The sequence below is a fragment of the Homo sapiens genome, chromosome 1 (genome assembly GCF_000001405.40).
Source record: "Homo sapiens chromosome 1, GRCh38.p14 Primary Assembly".
Lineage (NCBI taxonomy): Eukaryota > Metazoa > Chordata > Mammalia > Primates > Hominidae > Homo > Homo sapiens.
Window position 1 is genome coordinate 67,027,663 of NC_000001.11, and position 22,912 is coordinate 67,050,574.

Consider the following 22,912-nt stretch of genomic DNA (forward strand, 5'->3'; position numbering starts at 1 on the left):
ATTTTATGGGTTTCCCTCTATATACTGTTTTGGCTGCATTCCAGAAATTTTCCTATGTTGTAGTTTTTTTGTTTTTTGAGACAGACACAAAAACAACCAGGGTCTGTTGCCGAGGCTGGAGTGCAGAGGTGCTATCTTGGCTCACTGCAATCTCTGCCTCCTGGATTCAAGTGATTCTCGTGCTTCAGTATCCCACGTAGCTAGGATTACAGGTGTGAGCCACCATGCCTGGCTAATTTTTGTATTTTTAGTAGACACGAGGTTTTGCCATGTTGACCAGGTTGGTCTCAAACTCCTGACCTCAAGTGATCCACCTATCTCAGCCTCTCAAAATGCTGGGATTGCAGGAGTGAGCCACCACACCCAGCCACTATGTTGTGCTTTGATTTTCATTGTTCAAAATATTTTCTGATTTTCTTTGTGATTTTTCTTTGTCTATGAATTATTTAGAGGTGTGCTAATTTGCAAATATTTGGGGATTTTCCAAATATCTTTATGCCATTAATTTCTACCTTAATATTGTTCTGGTCAGGGAATATACTTTGTATGGTTTCAATTCTTTTAAACTATTAAGACTCATTTTATGGCCCAGAATATAGTTTATCTTGGTATATACCCAATGTGCACTTGAAAAGAATGTGTACGCTGCTGTTGTTGAGTGGATTGTTCTTTAATGTCAAGTAGATCAAGCTTGTTGACAGTATTATCCAAGTCTTCTATACTTTACTGACTTCCAGTTTCACTGTTTTATCAATTACTGAGTTAAAAATATTAAGATCCCAATTGTAATTGTGGGTTGGTCTATTTCTCCTTTCTGTTCTATCAGTTTTTACTTCATATATTTTGGAGCTCTCTCATCAAGAATATATACACTTAGGACCATTATATCCTTTTGAGGAATTAACCCATTTTATCATTATGAAATGTTCCTCTTTATGGTACAGTTTCCTTTACATTCTGTGTTTACTGAGCTCCTTGTGTGTGTGCCTTTAAAGTTTTCATCAAATTTGCAGAAAAAAAATTTCTACTCCCACCCTTCATAGACTTCTTGATATTGCCCCACAGGTCACTAATATTGTGTTCATTTGCTTTACAATCTTTTTTCCTCTATACGCTTCATCTTGGACAGTTTCCATTACTGTCTTTAATTCACTGATCTTTTCTCCTAATCTGCTGTTTCATTCCTTCCACTTTATTTTTCAATTCAGATATTTTTCATCCCTAAAAGTTCCAATTGAGTCTTTTGTTATAGCTTTCTTTTCTCTTCTCATCCTTTCTTAACAATCCTTCACAGCCTGTCATCCAAAGACTGAAAAATGTTGTTTGATAAATGTTTGATTTTCTAGTACCTTAATGTAGGAAGGTAAACCCTGTCCGTGTTATTCCATCATGGCTAGGAAATGAAAGACCACATTCAGTTCCTGATTTGAATTATAAACCTGTACCAAATGATGCTTCCACTAGGAAGCTTTCACAAAAACCTAAGTTGCACATTAGTATCTTTCCTGCCAAACTCAAGAGAAGACTAAATGCTACTTTTATCAGGTTCCTTACTAAGTATGTGTACATATATGGACATCTTTATGTACATGACTATCTCTCCAGACAGACATTGCAAATACCTTGATGATTTATCTCTGTATCCATGGTATTTAACAAAGTGATCAGAAAATAGTAGGTGTTTAATAACTGTTTACTGGATGAATGGAAGACATGAGAACTCATGCATACAATCTCATGCTACGCTCCTTCATACCTGTAAACACAACCTCCTCTCTGATGAAAAATCAGTAACGCACAATAAACTGGCCTACGACTCAGGAGACCAGCTTCTGCTAGCAAGACTGTAAGTTCCTTGGGAGCAGGAAATGTGTCACATGTCATTTCTGCAGAGTTCCATGCACTTAGAAGTGCTAAGCACAAATACTAGTGGCAGTAGATTAAACATCCATGATCTGTGGCCCAGCATCATTTTCTACACACAGATGAGGTGAACTTTGCTTTTGTTTTAATCCCTGACCCCCTCTGAACTTTGCTTTTTAATACACCCACACACCTGCTTGTACATGCTACTAACTGTATTTAAGTTGAATGTTAAATCTACATAATTTGTTTTTAAAAAAAGTTTTATTTCACATTTATCTGAAACTGGACCAGAATCTCAAGTATGTTTACATTTTAATTGTTCACATTTTAACTGTTTCTTACACTATCAGTTTGCCCTGTTTCCTGCGCCCCACGCCCCAAGCTTTATTAAGGTATAGTTAACAAAATATATAATTTTAACTTTTCTTCTAATAATTAAAGGTCATTTGAACTGCATGTAACTCATTAGCTTTGCACTAAGTTTTTTTTTTTTTTCTTTGAACAGACAAGGCATAACCCAGTAAGCCATCAATTAGGCAATGGAAAGGTTACGCATACCCTGCAAGAAAAGCCATTGTACCTAGAAAAGTAGGTGGACCAGGATTCAGAAGCCTGGTGTCTTGTACCACCTCACCACTGCTTCATTATGCTAGACTGAGCTTCTGTAAAGGAGAACTGCATGGGTATTAAGGCTTCTTCCAGTTGTGACAGGAGTATTAGATCAGCTTGAAAAGTAGAGAGTTTATTTTACCCAAGCTAAAACACATAAAAGAAATCTCAGCCCTAAAACCTTTCCTCCAGCTCTAAATTATCTTCCTTTCCTGGCTAAGCTATTCTTTTATCCCAAAGTCATTAAGAATACAGAATAAGTTGTTGTAAGGGACAATGATAATTCTCTGAACCTTAGTTTCTACATATGTAAAAAGAGGAATAATAAGGCCTCATCTACAGGGTTGTTATCAGAATTACAAAAAATATATATATGGATACAATCACTGACATGGAGGGAATCTGGCTCAATAAATGATGTCAGCTACTATATATAATCATTACTTTTAATTTTTTTTTTTATCAGTGACCTAATCAGTGGTTCAGTAATCAGAATTATTTGGCAAAGACCTCAAATAAACCTCTCATAAACCTAAGTTTCTTCTCTCCTCTAGCTCTAAATATCTCCTCTGCTTTCGGTGTACAATTCTGACATCTATTAAGTCCCATGTGCCAGGCCCCAGGCAGGATTTGAGGCACAATGCTAAAGATGGTTTAATCAGGCTTCCTGATAATCAAGCAGCAAATGATTAAAAAAGTGCTGCCATACATTTTTGGAGTGCCTTATGGTTTACCAAGTGCTTCTGCATGTATCATGTCATTTGATTGCCATGACAACCTGTGGGACAGAAAGGCCAGATCTTCTTATACCCAGAAGACGGGTAACTTACTTTAGGTCACACAGGTTATATACGGTAAACATGAGTCTACATATGCTAAGCCCCAAGGCTGTCTACACTGAATGTTACATTTGATTCAGAAAAATGCCCCAAATATATACTGCACAGTCTCCTTTGGGGACATAATAATGATATCTGCAGGACATTAAAATAAATCTCATGGATATGGTTCCATTCAGATAAAAATCAAAAACAGAAAAATAATTCTCATGGGACTTTTTTTTTATTTCTCTAAGTATTTGGCCTGTCTCTGGAGAAAGTCAGTCTATGGCACAAGCACGCTGTTGCATTCCTCTGCTTCGCCACAGGAATAGATCTTTGGCTGCAACAAAAGCAGCAGCAGCCATTTGAAAGTACAGCTGTAGGAAAAACAGAACCCTGGCAGTCCCTACAGTGCAAAGGAGCCCATTCTCCCTGCCATAAAGACAGCATTAAAAAAAAATAAAAACTACTGCTTATTAAGTGCCTATTATGTACCAGGCTCAGAAACATTCAGTAACTTTTCCAAAATTATCTAGCTAGTAAGTACCTGTTCAGCTCCATAACCTATAGTCTTTCCATCTGTACTGCCGCAAAAAAAAACAAAGGCAAGGCAACAACATGTTCTCAATTTTTTTTTCCTTTATGGCTCCACGTGGTTACCAATCAGTGAGTCAAATAGCAGGAGTTCTAATTCTAACTGCCATTAACTTTCCATGTGGCCATCATAGTTATTTAACATCAGTGAGCCTCTACCTATGTTATGAATGTAGAAAACAGTCTGCTCTATCTGCCTCCTGTGAGGATCAACTGAGAGACTAAAATGCAGTCACTTTAAATGTAGACAGAATTTACATACAGAAGAAATTATTCGCTTAAACTTCCACCAGTTATCTCCTGGTGGTAGATTTGCAAGCGAATTTTTTATTCTCCCTAAGATAGGAAATAGAAGGCATGGTGAACATACATTTTGTTAATCAGGAAAAAAACAAAACATTTAAAATGAAACAAAACTTCTGCTTCTAGAGAAAGCTCTGATAAAGAGCCATTGTGAAGAGAATGACCTACCTGGTCATTCTGTGTGTGACACAGAACTAAACAGGCTCTCTGCCACAAGGCCTGGAATCTTCGGTCTTGGCTGACTGGTAGCTGTGATTACAGATTTAATAAACAAAGATGCTTCTTAGGCTTTCCTTCTGTTTTGAATAAAGTCTTTAGCGCTACAGGTGCCAGTATAATGTAAATACCCCAGGAGTGAAAACAATGTCCCATAATCAACGGGAGACAGCAAATGTTATATGGACCTACCACTACCTATAACTACGCTTTTATTTTTTTTAAATTTGTTTAATTGTTATTTTTAAATAACATGGTAGGTATATATTTATGGGTTATTTGAGGCTATTTTGATACAGGCATGCAATGTGTAATAATCACATCATGGGCTGGGCTCGGTGGCTCACACCTATAATCCCAGCACTTTGGGAGGCCGAAGTAGGCGGATCACCTAAGGTCAGGAGTTCAAGATCAGCTTGACCAACACGGAGAAACCCTATCTCTACGAAAAATACAAAAATTAGCTGGGCGTGGTGGCGTGCACCTGTAATCCCAGCTACTCAGGAGGCTGAGGCAAGAGAATAACTTGAACCCAGGAGGCAGAGGTTGCAGTGAGCCGAGATCGCACCATTGCACTCCAGCCTGGGCAAGAAGAGTAAAACTCCGTCTCAAAATAATAACAATAATCACCATCATCACATCAGGGTAAATGGGGTATCCATCCCCTCAAGCATTTATCCTTTGTATTACAAACAATCCAATTATACTCTTTTAGCTATATTTTGAAATGAACAATTATCTTGTTGTGCTACCAAATACTAGTTCTTATTCATTTTTTCTAACCATTTTTTGTATCTCTTAACCCTTCCAGCTTTCCTCACCCCCCTACTACCCTTGCCAGCCTCTGGTAAACCACCTACTTTCTATCTCCATCAGATCAATTGTTTTAATGTTTAGTTCCCATAAATAAATGAGAACACGTGAAGTTTGTTTTTCTGTGCCTGCCTTATTTCCTTAACATAATGACCTCCAGTTCCATCCATGTTGTTGCAAATTTCAGCATCTCCTTTTTTTTATGGCTGAATTGTACTCCATTGTTTATATGTACCACATTTTCTTTATCCATTCATTCGCTGATGGACACTCGAGTTGCTTCCAAATCTTGGTGAATAGTGCTACAAAATAGGGGTATCTCCTCAATATACTGATTTCCTTTCTTTTGGGTTTTACCCAGCAGTGGGATTGCTAGATTGTATGGTAGCTGTATTTTTAGTTTTTTGAGGAACCTCCAAACTGTTCTCCATAGTGCTTATACTAATTTAGATTCCCACCAAGAGTGTATGAGGGTTCCCTTTTATTCACATCCTTGCCAGCATTTGTTATTGCCTGACTTTTGGTTAAAAACCTTTTTAACTAAGGTGAGATGATATCTCATTGTAGTTTTGGTTTGCATTTCTCTGATGATCAACAATGTTTAGCACTTTTTGTATATGACTGTTTGCCATCTGTATGTCTTCTTTTGAGAAATGTCTACTCAGATCTTTTGCCAATTATTTTAATCAGATTACTAGATTTTTTCCTATAGAGCTGTTTTTCAAATATTTACAAATATTTTCTCCCATTCTGTGGGTTGTCTCTTGACTGTTGTTTTCTTCACTGTGCAGAAGCTTTTTAACTTGATGTGATTCCCTCTGTCCATTTTTACTTTGGTTGTCTGTGCTTGTGGGGTATTACTAAGAAATCCTTGCCCAGTCCAATATGCTGGAGAGTTTCCCCAATATTTTCTTCTACTAGTTTCATACTTTGAAGTTTTAGATAAGTCTTTAATCCATTATGATTTGATTTTTGTCCAAGGCAGGAGATAGGGATCTAGCGTCATTTTTTGCATATGTACACCCGGCTTTCCCTGAACCATACACTGAAGAGACTGTCCCTTCCCCAGTGTATGTTCTTGGCACCATTGTCAAAAATTAGTTTACTGTAGATGTATGGATTTAGTTCTGTGTTCTATTCAGACACATAGATTTCACTGATCTATATGTCTGTTTTTATGACAGTACCATGCTGTTTTGGTTACTATAGCTCTGTAGTATAATTTGAAGTCAGGTAATGTGATTCCTCCAGTTTTGTTCTCTTTGCTTAGGATGGCTTTGGCTATTCTGGGTCTTTTGTGGTTCCACATAAATTTTAGGATATTTTTTTCTACTTCTGTGAAGAATTTCACTGGTATTTTGACAGGGGTTGAATTAAATCTGTAGATTGCTTCAGGCAGCATGAACATTTTAACAATATTGATTTTTCCAATCCATGAACATGGAATAGCTTTCCATTTTCTTGTGTCCTTTTCAATTTCTTGCATCAGTGTTTTATGGCTTTCACTGTAAAGACTTTTCACTTCTTTGGTTAATTTTAAGTTAAAGTATTTTATTTCATTTGTAGCTATTATAAATGTAATTACTTTCTTGATTTCCTTTTCAAATCGTTTGCTATAGCCATATGGAAATGCCACTGATTTTTGTATGTTGATTTTGTATCCTGCAATTTTAGTGAATTTATCAGTTCTAATAGTTTTTTGGTAGAGTCTTTAGGTTTTTCTAAGTACATGATCATATCATCTGCAAACCAGGATAATTTGACTTCTTTTTCAATCTGGATGCCCTTTCTTTCTCTTGTCTGATTGATTTAGCTAGGACTTCCAGTATTACACTGAGTAACAGTGGTGAAAGTGGGCATCCTTGTTGTGTTCTGATCTTAGAAAAAAGGCTTTCCATTTTTCCCTATTCAGTATGATACTACCCATTCATCTGTCATATATTGTTTTTCCTTCTATACTCAGTTTTTTGAGGATTTTTATCATGAAGGGATTTTGAATTTTATCAAATGTTTTTTCCACCATCAATCAATCGAAATGATCATTTGGTTGTTGTCCTTCATTCTGTTGATATGATGTATTACATTAATTGATTTGTGTATCCTGAACCATCCTTGCATCCCTAGGATAAATCCCACTTGGTCATGATGAATGATCTTTTTAATTTGTTGTTGAATTTGGTTTGCTAGTATTTTTGTTGAGGATTTCTCCACTACTATTCATCAGTGACATTGGCCTACAGTTCTGTGTTGTGTGTGTGTGTGCGCGCGTGTGTGTGTGTTTAATGCATCTTTGTCTGATTTTGGTATCAGGGTAACACTGGCCTTGTAGAATGAATTTGGAAGTATGCCCTCCTCCTCTATTTTTTGGAATAGTTTCAGTAAGATTGGCATTAGTTCTTCTTTAAATGTTTCGTAGAATTCAGTAGTGAAGCCATATCCAGGCTTTCCTTTGCTTGGAGAGTTTTTATTACAGCTTTGATCTCATTCCTTGTTACTGGTCTGTTCAGGTTTTGGATTTCTACATGATTCAATCTTGGTAGGTTGTATGTGTCCAGCATTTATCCATTTGTTTCAGCTTTTCCAATCTATTGGCACACAGTTGCTCATAGTAGCCAATAATGATCTTTTGAATTTCTGTGGTATCAGTTGTAACGTCTCCTTTTTCAGCTCTGATATTATTTATTTGGGTCTTCTCTCTTTTTTTCTTAGTCTGGCTAAAGGTTTGTCAATTTTTTCATTTCAGAAAACCAACTTTTTGTTTCATTAATCTTTTGTATTGTTTTCTTCATTTCAAATTCATTTATTTCTGCCCTGATTTTTATTATTTCTTTTCTTCTACTAATTTTGGGTTTGGAACCCAAAAGAACTTGCTTTTCTAGTTCTTTAAGATGTATCATTAGGTTGTTTATTTGAAGTTTTTCTTTTTTTTTTTTTTTTGATGTAGGCATTTACAGTTGTAAACTTATCCTCTCAGTACTGTTTTTGCTGTATACCATAAGTTTTGGTTTTCCATTATCATTTGTTTCAAAAAATTTTTTAATTTCCATCTTAATTTCTTCATTAACCCATTTGTCATTCAGGAACATATTGTTTAATTTCCATGTATTCAAAAATCCCTCGTTATTAACTTCTAGCTTTATTCCATTGTGGTCAGAGAAGATGCTGGATATTATTTCAATTTTTTGAATGTTTTAAGACTTGTCTTGTGACCTAACATATGGTCTATCCTTGAGAAGGATCCATGTGCTGGGAAAAAGAATGTGTATCCTGCAGCCACTGGACGAAATGTTCCGTAAATATCTATTAGACCCATTTGGTCTACAGTGCAGATTAAATCCAATGTTTCTTTGTTGACTTTCTGTCTGAAAGATCTGTCCAATGCTGAAACTGGGGTGTTGTAGTTTCCAGCTATTACTGTATTGGGATCTATCTCTCTCTTTAGCACTAGTAGTATTTGTTTTATATATCGGTGCATTCTTGCATCAGTGTTTTATAGTTTTCACTGTAGAGATCTTTCATTTATTTGGTTAATTTAAGTTAATGTATATTAACTTAAAATATATCCGGGTGTTCCAGTGTTGGGTGCATATATATTTACAACTGTTATATCCTCTTGCTCAATTTACCCCTTTATCATTATATAGTGACCTTCTTTGTGTCTTACAGTTTTTATCTTAAAATGTATACTGTCTGACGTAAGTATAGCTACTTCTGCTCTTTTTTGGTCTCCATTGGCATGTAATATATTTTTCCATCCCTTTATTTTCAGTCTATGTGAATCTTTACAAGTGAAGTGTGTGTCTTGTAAGCAACAGATCACTGGGTCTTTTTTTTTTTTTCTTTTTTTATCCATTTAGCTACTGTATGTCTTTTGATTGGAGAGTTTAGTCCATTTACATTCAATATTATTACTGTTAAGTAAGGATTTGCTCCTGCCCACTTTGTTCTGGTAGTTCTGTGGTCTTCTCTTCCTTCTTTCCTTCCTTCCTGTCTTCCTTTTAGTGAAGGTGATTTTCTGTGGTGGTATAATTTCATTTCTTGCTTTTCATTTTTTATCTATCTGTTGTATGCTTTTTTATTTGACATTACCATGAGGCTTGCAAACACAACCTAATAACCCAGTATTTTAAGCTGACAACAACTTAACACTGTGTGCATAAACAAACAAGCAAAAAGAAAACTAATAAGAACTCTACACCTTAATTTCATCCCCTCACTTTTTAACTTTCTATTGTTTCTCTTGATATCTTATTGTACTGTCAATGTGTTGAAAAGTTGTTGTAGGTATTATTTTTGATGGGTTCATCTTTTTGTCTTTATATGTAAAATAAGAGTAGTTTACATACCACAGTCACAGTGTATAAGTAGATATTTTGTTGAAAACTTTTAGTTAAATAAAAATATTTGAAAAAATTTTTAATTTTAAAAATGTGGGTTTTTTTGTTGCCTAGGTTAAGGAAATTAAGAGAGAAAGGGAGTATGTGAGTAAGATTAGCACAAAAACTACACAATCAATACAAAGGCTAAACTCTCATCCAGGGATGCAATCAGATTTTGTCTTTTGTACCAGCTCTGATCAACTGATTCTGGCTGTCTAGACTCCTGTCTTGGTAAACAGTCTCAGGCTATGTGTAAGCATAGCAAGAAAATATTGTGACTACTTGGTAATGTCTACAATGAGCACAGGATAACTTAGCACCAATTTACAATTTACCAACCCTAATCTAGTCAGAAGTATGGAAAAGTTTCAATGTCCACTTGAGGCAACCATTCCCCATTTCTGAATCATCAATTCATTTGAAATCTGAACTAAAATCCAAAGTGTGACAGATATTTTCTTAGTGTTTTGACACATCTCTGTTTACCATGAAGTCTAAAAATAAACCACTGAGTTTGCATGTCATGGTAAAGAAAAAAGATTAATAAATGATATTCTATTCCTGAAAATTCTTTCCCTGAAAAATTACTAAGAAAAAAATTGAATCCTTATCTGAAAGTAAACTGTTAGGAAACTTGCTAAGGCAGAAAGAAGATAATGTCAGTGGTGCCACCTATATAAAATAAAACCTACAGATCATGTCAAAACTACACATTCCAGCTTGCCAAGTAGGTCACTTGCTCTTATTTAAAAAGAGATATCTCAGAGGTAAGAATGGTTAGAAACATAACAGTGTCAGTCAAATAATATACTGGCAAAGAGAAAGTTCTATTCATTCATAACTAAAGAATAATTGATCCAACCCACCTGTTTTACATATGGGAACACCAAGGCCCAGAAAACAGAAGGAATCTGTCTCTATGTGGTGAGAATAATTCAGAGTCTGAAAATCAATCTGTGTGGTCCACAGAGCAATCCAGAAAAGATGAATAACTCTAAACAGGCTAACTTAACAGCCTAAAATTTCTTCATTATTTAGTCAGCAATGCTTAGTATGAGACACTTCCAGGCAGACAATTTGTGCAGCAACCTTTCCTATAACTCCCCTAAACCATGTAATTTAGCCAGTGATATAATGGAGACATTATACAGCGTACCACAGAACTAGCCTTGTGAGATCTACAGCAAGTGGTCTGTTCTTCCATCTCTATGTAAGAACACCTAGCAGGGTGTGCTGCCAGAAAGCCAAGCTCCAACTCCTGTGACTGAATCACTGGCTTTGTACTAAAAAAAAAATCCCATCTGGAGGTAGCAATTAGTAAGTTTAAACACAATCTGTACTGATGCTTTGGAAAGTCATTGGTCAAATGATGTCCACTCTGCCTTTATCTATGTTAACTAGGTATCTTTTATTAACAGTAAGCTGGTTTTTGCATGAGGCATAGTTTAAAAAAATGTTTTTAAGTTAGAAGATACATGTTTTAAAAACTAAGTGCTGAATATATTTATTTGTTCCTTGGTTTCTGGTAAACCCAGAACTTTGAGAACCTTGGATAAACTTTAAATATGTATACACACACACACACACACAAACACACACACAACTAGTTTGGTTTCTCAAAATGCTTTGCCAAGACCTTGCATTATGTGCTCACTGGGACGAGTTTTTCAACTGGAACTTTCCTTTACATTCTTATGGTAATATATTTCGTTTTTTTCATCGTTGGCCTCCAACTCTTGCTTAAAGGCTGTATCAACCCCATCAACTGCTGTATCCAACTCCTGTCTCTCTGGGGAGCTGGCCTTTCAGAGCCCCCTTGTTGGATTCTTGTCCTAACAAAGGGAAGTTTTCCCTCTTCTGCCTACTAAATTTAACAGTGAGACTTTCAGAATAATTTGCATCGATTTTGCTTCAAACTGCAATGTGGGTCAAGAGTCTGCAACTTAGGATAATAAAAAACTGACTTGCCATGTCCCCAGTTATTTTCAAATTTAGGGTTAATCACAGGATAGTAGTCATTTATATAAAAACTATCTTTTCCTTATTGTTCCTTTGATATAGTTTTTAAATACGTTTATGTGGTCCTATAATCAAAAAAATATAGAAAGATGAATAGTTTGAGAAGTCTCCCTCCCATTCCTGTTCTACTTACCCTGTTCCCACAATATGCACAAAAATTTATTAGTTTCATGTATATTTTTCCAGACTTTATTTAAATAAGTGAAAAAATTGTGTGTGTGTGTGTGTGTGTGTGTGTGCGCGCGTGGGGGGTATTCTTATTTTTCTTTTTATTTTACCCAAAAGGTAGGATATCATATGCACCATTTTGCACTGTGCTTTTTCATTTAACCATTTATCTTGGAGATCTTTTAATTCAATACATAGAAAGTTTCCATTCAAAGTGGCCCCCATTCAAAGTGGGTCAGGAAAGTCTGAAGTCCAACAAATGAGAGCAGTTTATCAGCACTGATTATAGGGGAGTAGTGGGCTCATGCCAGCTGTGAGAATAGCTGCCTGTTTCCACAATGACATGGCTTTTACTCCTCAGAAACTCTGTCTCAACCCCAGAAAGGGCTGTACCTAGAGACTCATTTTACAAATGATAAAGCTAGGTGGGAGAGCAGAAGGGATTTATCCAAAGTCAGATGGTGGTCAGGCACAGAACTGGAGGTGGCTAGTTTTCTGCATTCTGAGAGCCCTAAATTCTCCCCACTGTACCACTTACATCACAATTTTTTTTTTTTTTTTTGAGACACAGTCTTGCTTTGTCACCCAGGCTGGAGTGCAGTGGCACAATCATGGCTCACTGCAGCCTCGACCTCCTGGGCTCAAGCGATCCTCCCACCTCAGCCTCCCCAGTAGCTGGGACTACAGACACACCCGACCATTTGTGCTAATTTTTTTGGAATTTTTTGTAGAGATGGAGTTTTGCCATGTTGCCCAGGCTGGTCTTGAATTCCTAGGCTCAAGCAATCTGCTCACAACTCCCCAAGGGCTAGGATTATAGGCGGGAGCCACTGCACCCAGCCCTTTGTCACAAACTTTTAAGGACTTGTCACTACCTGCAGAGTAAATGTCAAATTCTTGTGTCTAGCATTGGTCCTAATTTAGAAGGAATCAGGGTGTGATATGGTGGGAATGGTAATAACACCTGCTTAGAACTTAAAAATCTAGGTTCTAGTCCTCTCTGGGGCCCAGTTTCCCCAACTATGAAATAAGAGGCTCAAACCAGATGCTCTCTAAGGTCTCTGCTAATGTTTCTAAGGTCTTTGACTTCTACCTTCTAATTTGAAGAGTCTGGTCTTTGCAGGTATGCCTGAGCTCATGCTGTTAGTTCTATCTGGAATGTACCTTTTGTTTCTCTTCCTCCGCATTCTTCAAGGCCCACTTTGACTTTTCCTGGTATTTGCCCATTTAAAAAATGCTAAGCACTCTCACCTCAGGACTTGGAACCTGCTCTTCCTTGACCTAGATTACTCTCCCTCCAAAGGGCCATACAAATTGCTCTCTTAGTCCATTTGGTTCAATGTCTGCTAAAAGAAACTTTATATATTCCCTAAGCAAATTAATTCTTCCAACTTTCTCAGATTTGCCTCAAGATTTAGAACCATATATCACACCATATTCTTGTCCCAAAGCTCGAGAGTGAGGGGTGCTTCTGCTAGTCGCTAGTCTGCTCCAAAGCACACAGCCTTTGGAGTCAGGCTTGGGTTTAAATCTTGACTCCACTATTCCCCAATAGTATGACACTGGACAAGTTTCTTAGTCTCTCTGAACCTCTCCTTCCACATTAGTAAAATAGGTATAATTAAAATTTTCTTGACTGTTATAAAAACTACATTATATTAAATATACAAAGTGACTAACACATAATAGGGATTCAATAAATGTTAGTTTCTTGTCCCATTTTTTTTCACAGCCACAAAATACTTATTTAATACTCTTTATTAGAGAAATAGCCGTTTCCTACTTTGGTGTCATTTTTAGGCCTGCTGGCAGGTAGGTCACAGTTCATTAAAACATTTACACGTATATTCAAGATGACCTGTACCAGTTCTTTAAAAGAAGAGGTATGATGGGGGGTGGGAAACAGCTTCATAAGCTGTCAGTCTCCAGCCTTTGGTTCAAGAACAATTTAATAGTCCAACAGCTTTTAAAAATCTCTTTTATTTTAGCTCCCACAAACTTGTAAAAATCACGGTCTTTAGAGTAAATGACCAACATACTTATTCTGAAGAAGTTACTAGCCAGGGGAATCATTAGAAGGAATCTTGGTACAGAAATCCTTGCCATAATTCTGGATTTCCATTTAGTTTGCAGAATTTTGTGAATTCTGACAATATGTTATCAATTTGTCTCCTACACGGGCTTGTTTTAAAGAAAAATTCTTCTCCAGATTTATTTTACTACTCTATGCTGTATTTATTTAGCTAGACATTTGCAGAAAATTGGTAAACTACTATATTAGTTGTTCTTTATAAGGTTAAGTTGCCACACAATGCTAAATATCTCCTGAGAAAAAAAAAACAAGTTGGGAGTTAAACCAGGATGACAACTGTACACTAAAACTGAGAACTTCTAGCAATGCCTAGCATTTTGTTTAGGATTTGGAGAATTTTACTATTTCAAGATTTTTGTTTCTCAAGGATAGTTTACTACTATTCCTATTTTATAGTTTAGCAGAAATGTAAAAATTCCCTTCCTCTATCCTTCTGGCATGTAAGAAAAAGACACTAGCTGGCAAGCACTATTTTTATGTTGACAGCAGAGCTATTTTGAGTCATCTTTGTACTATCCAATGTTTACGCCAAGAAAAGAGGTTAGCATGACATTAGCAATTTAAAGAGTAAATGCTCAGTTTTTGGTCACTTAATAAGCATATTTCTTTTGAACAACAAAGCCTATCTTTTCATCATAAATAATAATGCAGTTCATCAACGTAAGCCATTAAACCGTAATTAGAAAGTCCTACCTTTTGTGCATCTCCTGTGAAATACGCAATGGCCAGGGTGGGCAGAATCATGAACAGTGCATTGTAATAGAGCAGTCCATATTTTCCCAGCTCCTAGGACAGTAAATAATTAGGTGTTTCATCTGCGTTTTGTTCTAGCAGATACAACACTGTACAAAATACCACTCAAACTACACATAAATACACAAACACACACACCCTCCCCTACAACATACACAGCAAATGAATTAAGTTAGAAGTTTTGCAAACATTAAGAAATAATCTAAACTTTCAAGACCAAATAAAGCAAACTTACAAAATTTTATACTTACTTGAAATAAATTCCTCAAGTGCTTAAGATCAGAGAAATAAAAATGACTACTGGCTGCCTCAAAATAGCAAGTAGAAAAGAGGTTATTTTGAACACATACACACACACACAAACACACACACAGCAATATCAAAACATCTCTCTGAAGCCATTCTCTTTCTAGAACTGAATCAAGACTGAGTATGTCTTGGGCTTTTCAGAAGCCTAGCACAGTGTCATTTAAGAAAGATGGATGAGGCCGGATACGGTGGCTCACACCTGTAAACTTAGCACTTTGGGAGGCTGAGGCGGACAGATTGCTTGAGCCCAGGAGTTCAAGACCAGCATGGGCAACATGGTGAAACACTGTCTCTACAAAAAATACAAAAACAGCCAGGCGCGGTGGCTCACGCCTGTAATCCCAGCACTTTGGGAGGCTGAGGCAGGCAGATCACCTGAGGTCAGCAGTTCAAGACCAGCCTGGCCAACATAGTGAAACTGTCTCTACAAAAATACAAAAATTAGCCGGGCATGATGGTGGGTGCCTGTAATCCCAGCTACTTGGGAGGCTGAGGCGGGAGAATCGCTTGAACTCAGGAGGTGGAGATGCAGTGAGCCAAGATCGCACCATTGCACTTTAGCCTGGATGACAGAGTGAGACACTCCATCTCAAAAAAAAAAACAAAAAAACCTAGCCGAGCATGGTGGCACGTTCCTGTAAATCCCAGCTACTGGGGAGGCTGATGTGGGTGGAACTCTTGAGCCTGGGAGTTCAAGGCTGCAGTGAGCCAAGAACGAGATTGTGCCCCTGTACTCCAACCTGGGTAACAGAGCAAGAACCTATCTTAAATTAAAAAGAAAAAAAAATTAGCCAGGAATGGTGGTGTGCACCTGTAGTCCCAGCTACTCAGGAGACTGAGGTGGGAGGATCCCTTGAACCCAGGAATCCAAGGGAGGCTGCAGTGAGCTCTGATTGTGCCACTGCATTCCAACTTCGGCACCAGAGCAAGACCCTGGCTCAAAAACAAAACAAACAAAAAGCACAAAGCAAACAAACAAAAAAAGATGGCCAGATTCAGACATGCAGACTCAGGCCTAGACCAATACCAACAGACAGCACTTCTCAGTGAAGTATTTCCGAAAACGTGTACATGAAGTAAAATGAAGATTAAGATTACTATAACTACAGCTCCCAGAACACAATATGACTTACTGGGTTCTTAGCTACTAGGGAGCAACAAAGGATAACACACATCTTCAAACACAGGGAGCCTATAAGAACTCTGAGTCCACCTTTGATTCACACACTTCTGGGACATTCAGCATGAAGCAGTCTCCTGAAAATGCAGGCCAGGGTTTGAGAGGTGGGAAGTGGGGACAGTGAGGGAGTGGTAAGGATGGGGGCATAACACTTGCCTAACTCCTGCGATTGAAAGATTACTGACTGATGAGAAAAGTCGAACTGCCTTCTCAAAAGCAGCACTGAAAAATTGGAAATAAATACCCAACAATTGAAAACTAGCTGATTAGGCTGGGTGCAGTGGCTCATGCCTGTCATCTCAGCATTTGGGGAGGCCAAGACAGGCGGATCGCCTGAGGTCAGGAATTTGAGACCAGCCTGGCCAACATAGAGTAACCCCGTCTCTACTAAAAATACAAAAATTAGCCTGGCGTGGTGGTGCACACCTGTAATCCCAGCTATTCAAGAGGCTGAGGCACAAGAATCACTTGAACCCAGGAGACACAGGCTGCAGTAAGCTGATGTGCCACTGCACTCCAGGCTGGGCGACAGAGTGAGACTCCATCTGAAAAAAAAAAAAAAAACCCCGAAGGAAAACTAGCTGATTAGATGATTAGACTATAACTAGCTATACAATGAAACATTACACAGCCACTAAAAATGTTTAATGATGCTGATTGACATTAAAAAGGTGTTCAAGAAATGGTACTAAGTGAAAAATACAAGTTAGAAACTATATCATCCCTTTTTTGCTTAAAATTTTAACATACAGATAAGTGTGCACACACATACACATACAAAATAAAGGATATCCACCAAAACAGTGCTTCTCACTCGATGATAGTATTAAGGGAGATTTATGTTTTCTTCCTCTTGCTTATCCATGTTTTCTACTACTTCTATCATAAACATGCATTATTTTATGTAATATTTTAAAGTTAAAAAGTTTTAAATTCGATAGCCACATTCAGGTCTAAAATGCAGCACAAAATCTTTATGCCATATGACTCATACTCAATGGACTATAATTGTAAGCAGCCTGATATTATCAGTAATAAAACTCCTGATTGGCTGCCCTGCCTATGGAGTAGCCATTCTTTTGTTTCTCTACTTCTAAAAACAAAAGAAAACAAGAAAACTCCGGATGTATTAAAAAGCACCTCAGCATGGCCGTACTGCCTTACTGCCTCTGGGATAAACCAAGTAACTGATTGCTTATGGTCACCACAAGCATCAGTGTAAAGGTGTGCCTCATGTGTACGGCAGCAAAAAAAAAAGCCATACTGGGACAACCTTTAAGAAGGGTGCCCAGTCAGCCAGAGACATGAGTGTTATCCAGGAAGTAGAGGATATGCATGGAGGCACACATACACACAAATACACATCATCCAGTAACTGACAAACAGCAAGAACTTAAATGCCAAAACTTCTGTTTTTCTTTATACATTTTAATTGTTTTGAATGTCTTTCTCCCTGCCTTCTTAAAGTACACTGACTGAAACTAGATTTAGGGCATCATCATAAACATGTATTATTACATCTTATGATACACTGTTACGCATCATAAATCTGTATTATTATGTTTATGTATTATGTTCTTATTCAGTGTTGCCCTTACGGCTGTTTAATAGACCCTGTATCTTTTTCTTCTTCTCCAGTATTTCTGTCTTTTACAATCTGACTGTTTCTCTTGTTAGCTGACCTTTTATACTGCTGGTAAACCTCTCTGCCTCTAAATAGAATTCTACCTTCTAGTTTGTTGCTTATAAGATATGAGCTAGGAGAAGTAATCAATGAACTTAAAAGTTCTAGTATAAATAAGTCATAGTGATTTCTAAGTGAGAAACTGAAGGGCTCTCCTAGGAATAAAACACTCAGAAACTTTGATTTTTTTTCTAGATTCTAGGATATACTATAGATTGTACTAATATGGTAGCCACTAGCCACATGTAGCTATTTCAATTTAATTATAATCACATAAAACTACTGATTTCAGTTTCTCAGTTATTTTCAAGTGCTCAAGGGCCATGCATGGCTAATGACCAGTTAATGGAAAGCAGAAATATAAATTTCCAATGTCACAGAAAATTCTATTAACAGTGATGTTTTAGACAACTGAAGCTGCTGGACAAATAAAATGTCATTAATAGTATCTATTTTCCAAAGCAGCAAATGGGCTGAAGAAAAGAGTAAGATCAATCACTAACTGCTACCTTTTCTCTAGCTATTTTAAAAAGATAAAAATTCTTACTAGTAGCTTCCATTAAAATGTAACCATCATATAGATTCATCAAAGCAAATAAATGGAGGCCAAGACATGCATATTTAAAGAAAATGGATTGGAAACAAATCAACACCGTCCTTGGTTCTTCAAGCCTATTCCAAAAACAAAAACAAAACAAAAAAAAATAAACTATCTGCAAAATAATGAAACCTACTGGGATAGACATTGAATCTACACTTCTTTTCTAGAGGAGCAGGCAAAGCCCCTGGCCAAGGCAAGATCAATTCAATACTAATAGTACTATCAAGCAGGTAGGACACTTGTATTTATTTATTATCTAAGCTCCCAAAAAGGAACTTAAGTAGTTTCAGAAACATTCTACACATAATAGAAAAGACTAAAAACTAAGCAGTTAAAGTCATCTGACTAAAGAGAAAATATGGGTAGGAAAATAAGATAAAGTCATGGTCAGTTACAAGATGTAATTATGAGATAAAAATGTACCAGCTGCTCAGGAAAAACTATGGTGACATCTAAGATAAGTATCTCATATGAGTCCTCATATAGGATACATTATGATATCAAGGACAATTCCTTCAATTAGCCACCCTAGGATATATAAAGTTGAGATCCATTTAGGTGTTTCTTACAGTAATGTAATCTCATAACGTAATGTTGCAAAAGCAATATGATTCAAATACTCAGCTTTCTAATAATCTGGCTTGATCTAAAAATAATATATTTAAAGTATATAGTAAACAAATAAACAATATCTGGTAAAGCCAAGGCCAGGAAACACTGTGTTGCCCCTAAGAGAGACAGAGATACTAATGCTCCCTAAAATTTCCCATTATTTATAGGGCAAATACATAAAGGCCATTTTTGTTTTGCAGCCCCTTCCAACATTCATTTCCCTTCAAGTCTGCCCAAAGGTTTCCAAGTAGTTCTCTTTCTGCCTCCCAGGTCCCTCGGAAAGTCCTCTAGAATACAGCCATGAACATTTAAAGACACTGCAGTGAACACACTTTACTTTCCCTACCCCACACGAAGTCAAAATTCACGCAATCCCAGAAAAGCCTGGAATAAAACCTAATTGCTAATTAATTAAAAAATAAAGTTTCTTATATGAACACTAAAGTACAGGAATTTTACCCTCAGAGAGCCACTATGTCTTTCTCATCCCCAGTAAGAACTTTCTTTATTCCCCACTTTTTCTCCTATGAATTGACATGCCAACATCAGTACACAACTGTTAAAGCTTTAGATTGCTACTTACTTTTGAATCTAATTTTTGTTTTACGTATGCACCATTTGCTGCTGTTAGGACATCGTTTATCAGAATAAAAGCATATCCTTCCAGATCAAATGCCAAGTCAGAGCTGCAAAACATAAGCAACACTTTAAGAACAACTTAAAGAACATGCATTTAATTTTAAATAGATATAAGCTAAAATATTTACAAGAACATATTCTCATCTAGGGAAGTGAATATTAGGCATTTTATCAGCTACTAGTATTTCTTGATTTCTGGTCATAGTTTGCAATTTCACCTCAATAAGGGATTCCTCAGAAATAAGAGGCACTAACATTTAAACACATAATTAGCAACGGTCATTCATGTCATTTAATAGCACACCGCTCTGCATTCAAAGCCAGATGACAACAAGCACCAAATTACCATTAAGTACATCTGTGAAGCAGGCAGAAGCAGGCAGAGCTCAATTTCATAGACAAGAAAACCAAAAGGATGAGGCCATTAACAAGTCATTTTCTGAAGGTCCACATGAAAGGTAGGACTATCTTGCATAGGTAGTTGGGCCCCTGGGTGAAATTTCTGAAGTGTGGATCATGGTTAGTTCTGAGATCAAGCTAGAACAATGTCTAAGCACATAGCAGGAACTCAAATACTTAAACAATAGCTCAATGAACCTGTGAAGTATAACTTGGGGGTTTAGGGAAACTGAAAATTTCTGGAACTTAGAGTACCAGGCACGAGATAAGAATTTAGTAAATTAAACAGAATAAATGAAAATCTGAGAAAGGTATGCCTTCAGCATACTTCAGCACCCTAGCTAAAATAGTGGCTGCACAGACTCTGATTTTGCAGAGATACTGTATAGGAGCCAAGACTTATCTAATGAGTTCTATGCCACTGCAATTTTAGGCAGGACTAACTTAATGCACACTCCCTACCCCAAGCAGTCTAACAACCTTCTGACTGACTTCAGAGGTCTGAGTTCCCTTCCTTTCAATCTTTTTCCAAGTCAAAGGGTCTAACCAGATAAGGCTGGTCCAGACAGTAATCCTTTTCAGAAGTTTTTGTAGACACAAGAAAGCCCTGAGGAACCCCTGTTGTTTGGTACAATTTTGGGTCCCATCAGCTTCAAGGAAATGTTTCAAAGACTAGCAGGGCACCTCTAAAAAGAAAGGTAGGAGGCTAGCATAGAATTTTTCTCCAAGGGGGGAATATGACATAGAAGGAAAAGCAGTTAGCTATATAGCCAATTTCTAGTAACCAATTACGCCACTCTCTTTTTTTTAGAATGAAATTTTACTTGGAGATTGGACTTGTAAAACAGGACTGGACTGATAATATTTTCTTCCACCTATACTACAGGAATGTGATGAAGGTAAATGAGTCAATTCAAGAAGTACACTGGAACTCCTGGATGGAAAACATATGTCTGGCAGAATGTGTGGCATTAGTAAATACATATATGCATGCCCTGGGCTGATTAAAATGTTGTAGAAGACTTCTAGCATCATTATAATTTTCTAGGTCTGTGGGTATACATTTTCCTCATGTATTTTAAAACTAAAACTTAAGAAAAATGGGAAAAGCTTTAATAACCTAATAGAATATCTAAGTTATGGCATTTGTGACATATCTTATGTGAGGCCAATTAAAGCAATGTTATTGTTCATTATTCGAAAAGGCAAGCAAATGTTTCATAGTCATTTTCCTCACCTCACAGAAGAGGAGACATGCTTTTCTTTAGCAGCATGCAAAATTAAGGAACGCCAGGCCAGGCGCGGTGGCTCACGCCTGTAATCCCAGCACTTTGGGAGGCCAAGGCAGGCGGATCACGAGGTCAGGAGATCGAGACCATCCTGGCTAACATGGTGAAACTCCGTGTCTACTAAGAATACAAAAAATTAGCTGGGTGTGGTGGCAGACACCTGTAGTCCCAGCTACTCGGGAGGCTGAGGCAGGAGAATGGCGTAAACCTGGGAGGCGGAGCTTGCAGTGAGCCGAGAGCCCACTACTGGACTCCAGCCTGGGCGACAGAGCAAGACTCCGTCTCAAAAAAAAAAAAAAGAAATGCCACATGGTTTATAAAAACACACAGGCTCTGAAGAAAGCCACAGATTCAAATTTCAGCTCTGCCATTAGCTCTGTGACCTTAAGTAAGTTATTGAACTTAAGTTTTAGTTTCTTCAACTATAAAATAGGAAAATTATACCCATACCTCTCAGAGGTGTTGTGAAGAATACATAATAAGATGTGTAAAATGCCAAACATATTGTGTGGCACATGCTATGTGCTCAGCACAACGACAGTAACAAATTCTAAATTACATCAATTTAAATTTTAACAATCCCAAGAATCTTATTTTTGTCAACCTTTATCTTAATACAGCCAAAAAGATTTAACCTTTTCAAGAGTCTTCTAGATGCTTTTCAAAGATATAATTCTTATTTAGGCAATAAAAAATTGTTATTGATAAGCAATCATTTATTATCAATAATTATTGACAATTTATAATGTGCTAGTCATAGGCCCACATCTTACCTGGCAGCTACAAAGGCTCCAATAATCATTGCAAATACAGTCATTTTAATACCCCAAGAAAAAGTCTTCCTACAAAACAAAAAATTTTAAAATACACACATGACTTTATTCCCACACTCATTTTACAACAGAAGCAAAAAATGGGATATGCTTTCTCAAAAGCTATAAACAATCGTATTTTAAACATTTCTGAGAAACTGATATTTAAAAGAACCCCTTTGATAAAGCAAAAATTTATTGTTATATAAGTTATTACACCCACTTTTAAAATTTTCACCTATTGTCATTATTAGTGAGTTTGAATTTTTGTGAAGCAGAATTTCTTTAACAGAAAAATGTCACATTCATTTGGAGCTAGACATGAACACTATTTAAAACCTATACCTATGATTCTGATCCAGCTTCTCCCGGTGGCAGTAGTACAGAAATTCTAGAAAGTAAATCTCACGTTCAGATAAGATTTTCAACTCTAATTCATAACCTTCCCAACTACCACTCCCACAAACTATCAATTCCAGCAGCCAAGAGAGAGGGTTGCTTAAACTTCTCAAAAGGTAAGGTAGGAACAAGACAAATAATTTAATATCTCACATATGCTGGGCACCTTTTCAAGGTGATTTAAAGAACAGATATATTAGAAACTTAGCTCACTTGAGTAAAACTCCTTCAGCAAACATTGTAAACAGGATGGAGAACCTTCTCAGAACTGTAAACATTGGCAAGCTGGAAAAAAAAAAGATAATTAGGTAAAATAGAATTTAACAATTTGTTTTAAACTAAGATTTTCCAAATT

General features: G+C 36.9%; 1 protein-coding gene across 9 annotated transcripts in view; it reads right to left on the bottom strand.

Annotated features, from left to right (window-relative positions):
- The window catches only part of SLC35D1 (solute carrier family 35 member D1), an 81,173-nt gene that overhangs the window by 54,687 nt on the left and 3,574 nt on the right, over nt 1–22,912 (bottom strand). For 6 of the 9 annotated variants that reach the window (XM_047415662.1, XM_047415665.1, NM_015139.3 and 3 more), the window contains exons 5-8: nt 22,771–22,842; nt 22,120–22,188; nt 19,603–19,705; nt 14,574–14,666 (exon numbers count right to left, since the gene is read on the bottom strand). In XM_047415662.1, coding sequence (XP_047271618.1) covers nt 14,574–14,666; nt 19,603–19,705; nt 22,120–22,188; nt 22,771–22,842 — 337 coding nt within the window. Of the gene's footprint in view, nt 1–4,361; nt 4,443–14,573; nt 14,667–19,602; nt 19,706–22,119; nt 22,189–22,770; nt 22,843–22,912 lie in introns of all 9 variants that reach the window. The other 3 variants (XM_006710478.3, XM_047415659.1, XM_047415668.1) reach the window with 1 other exon arrangement.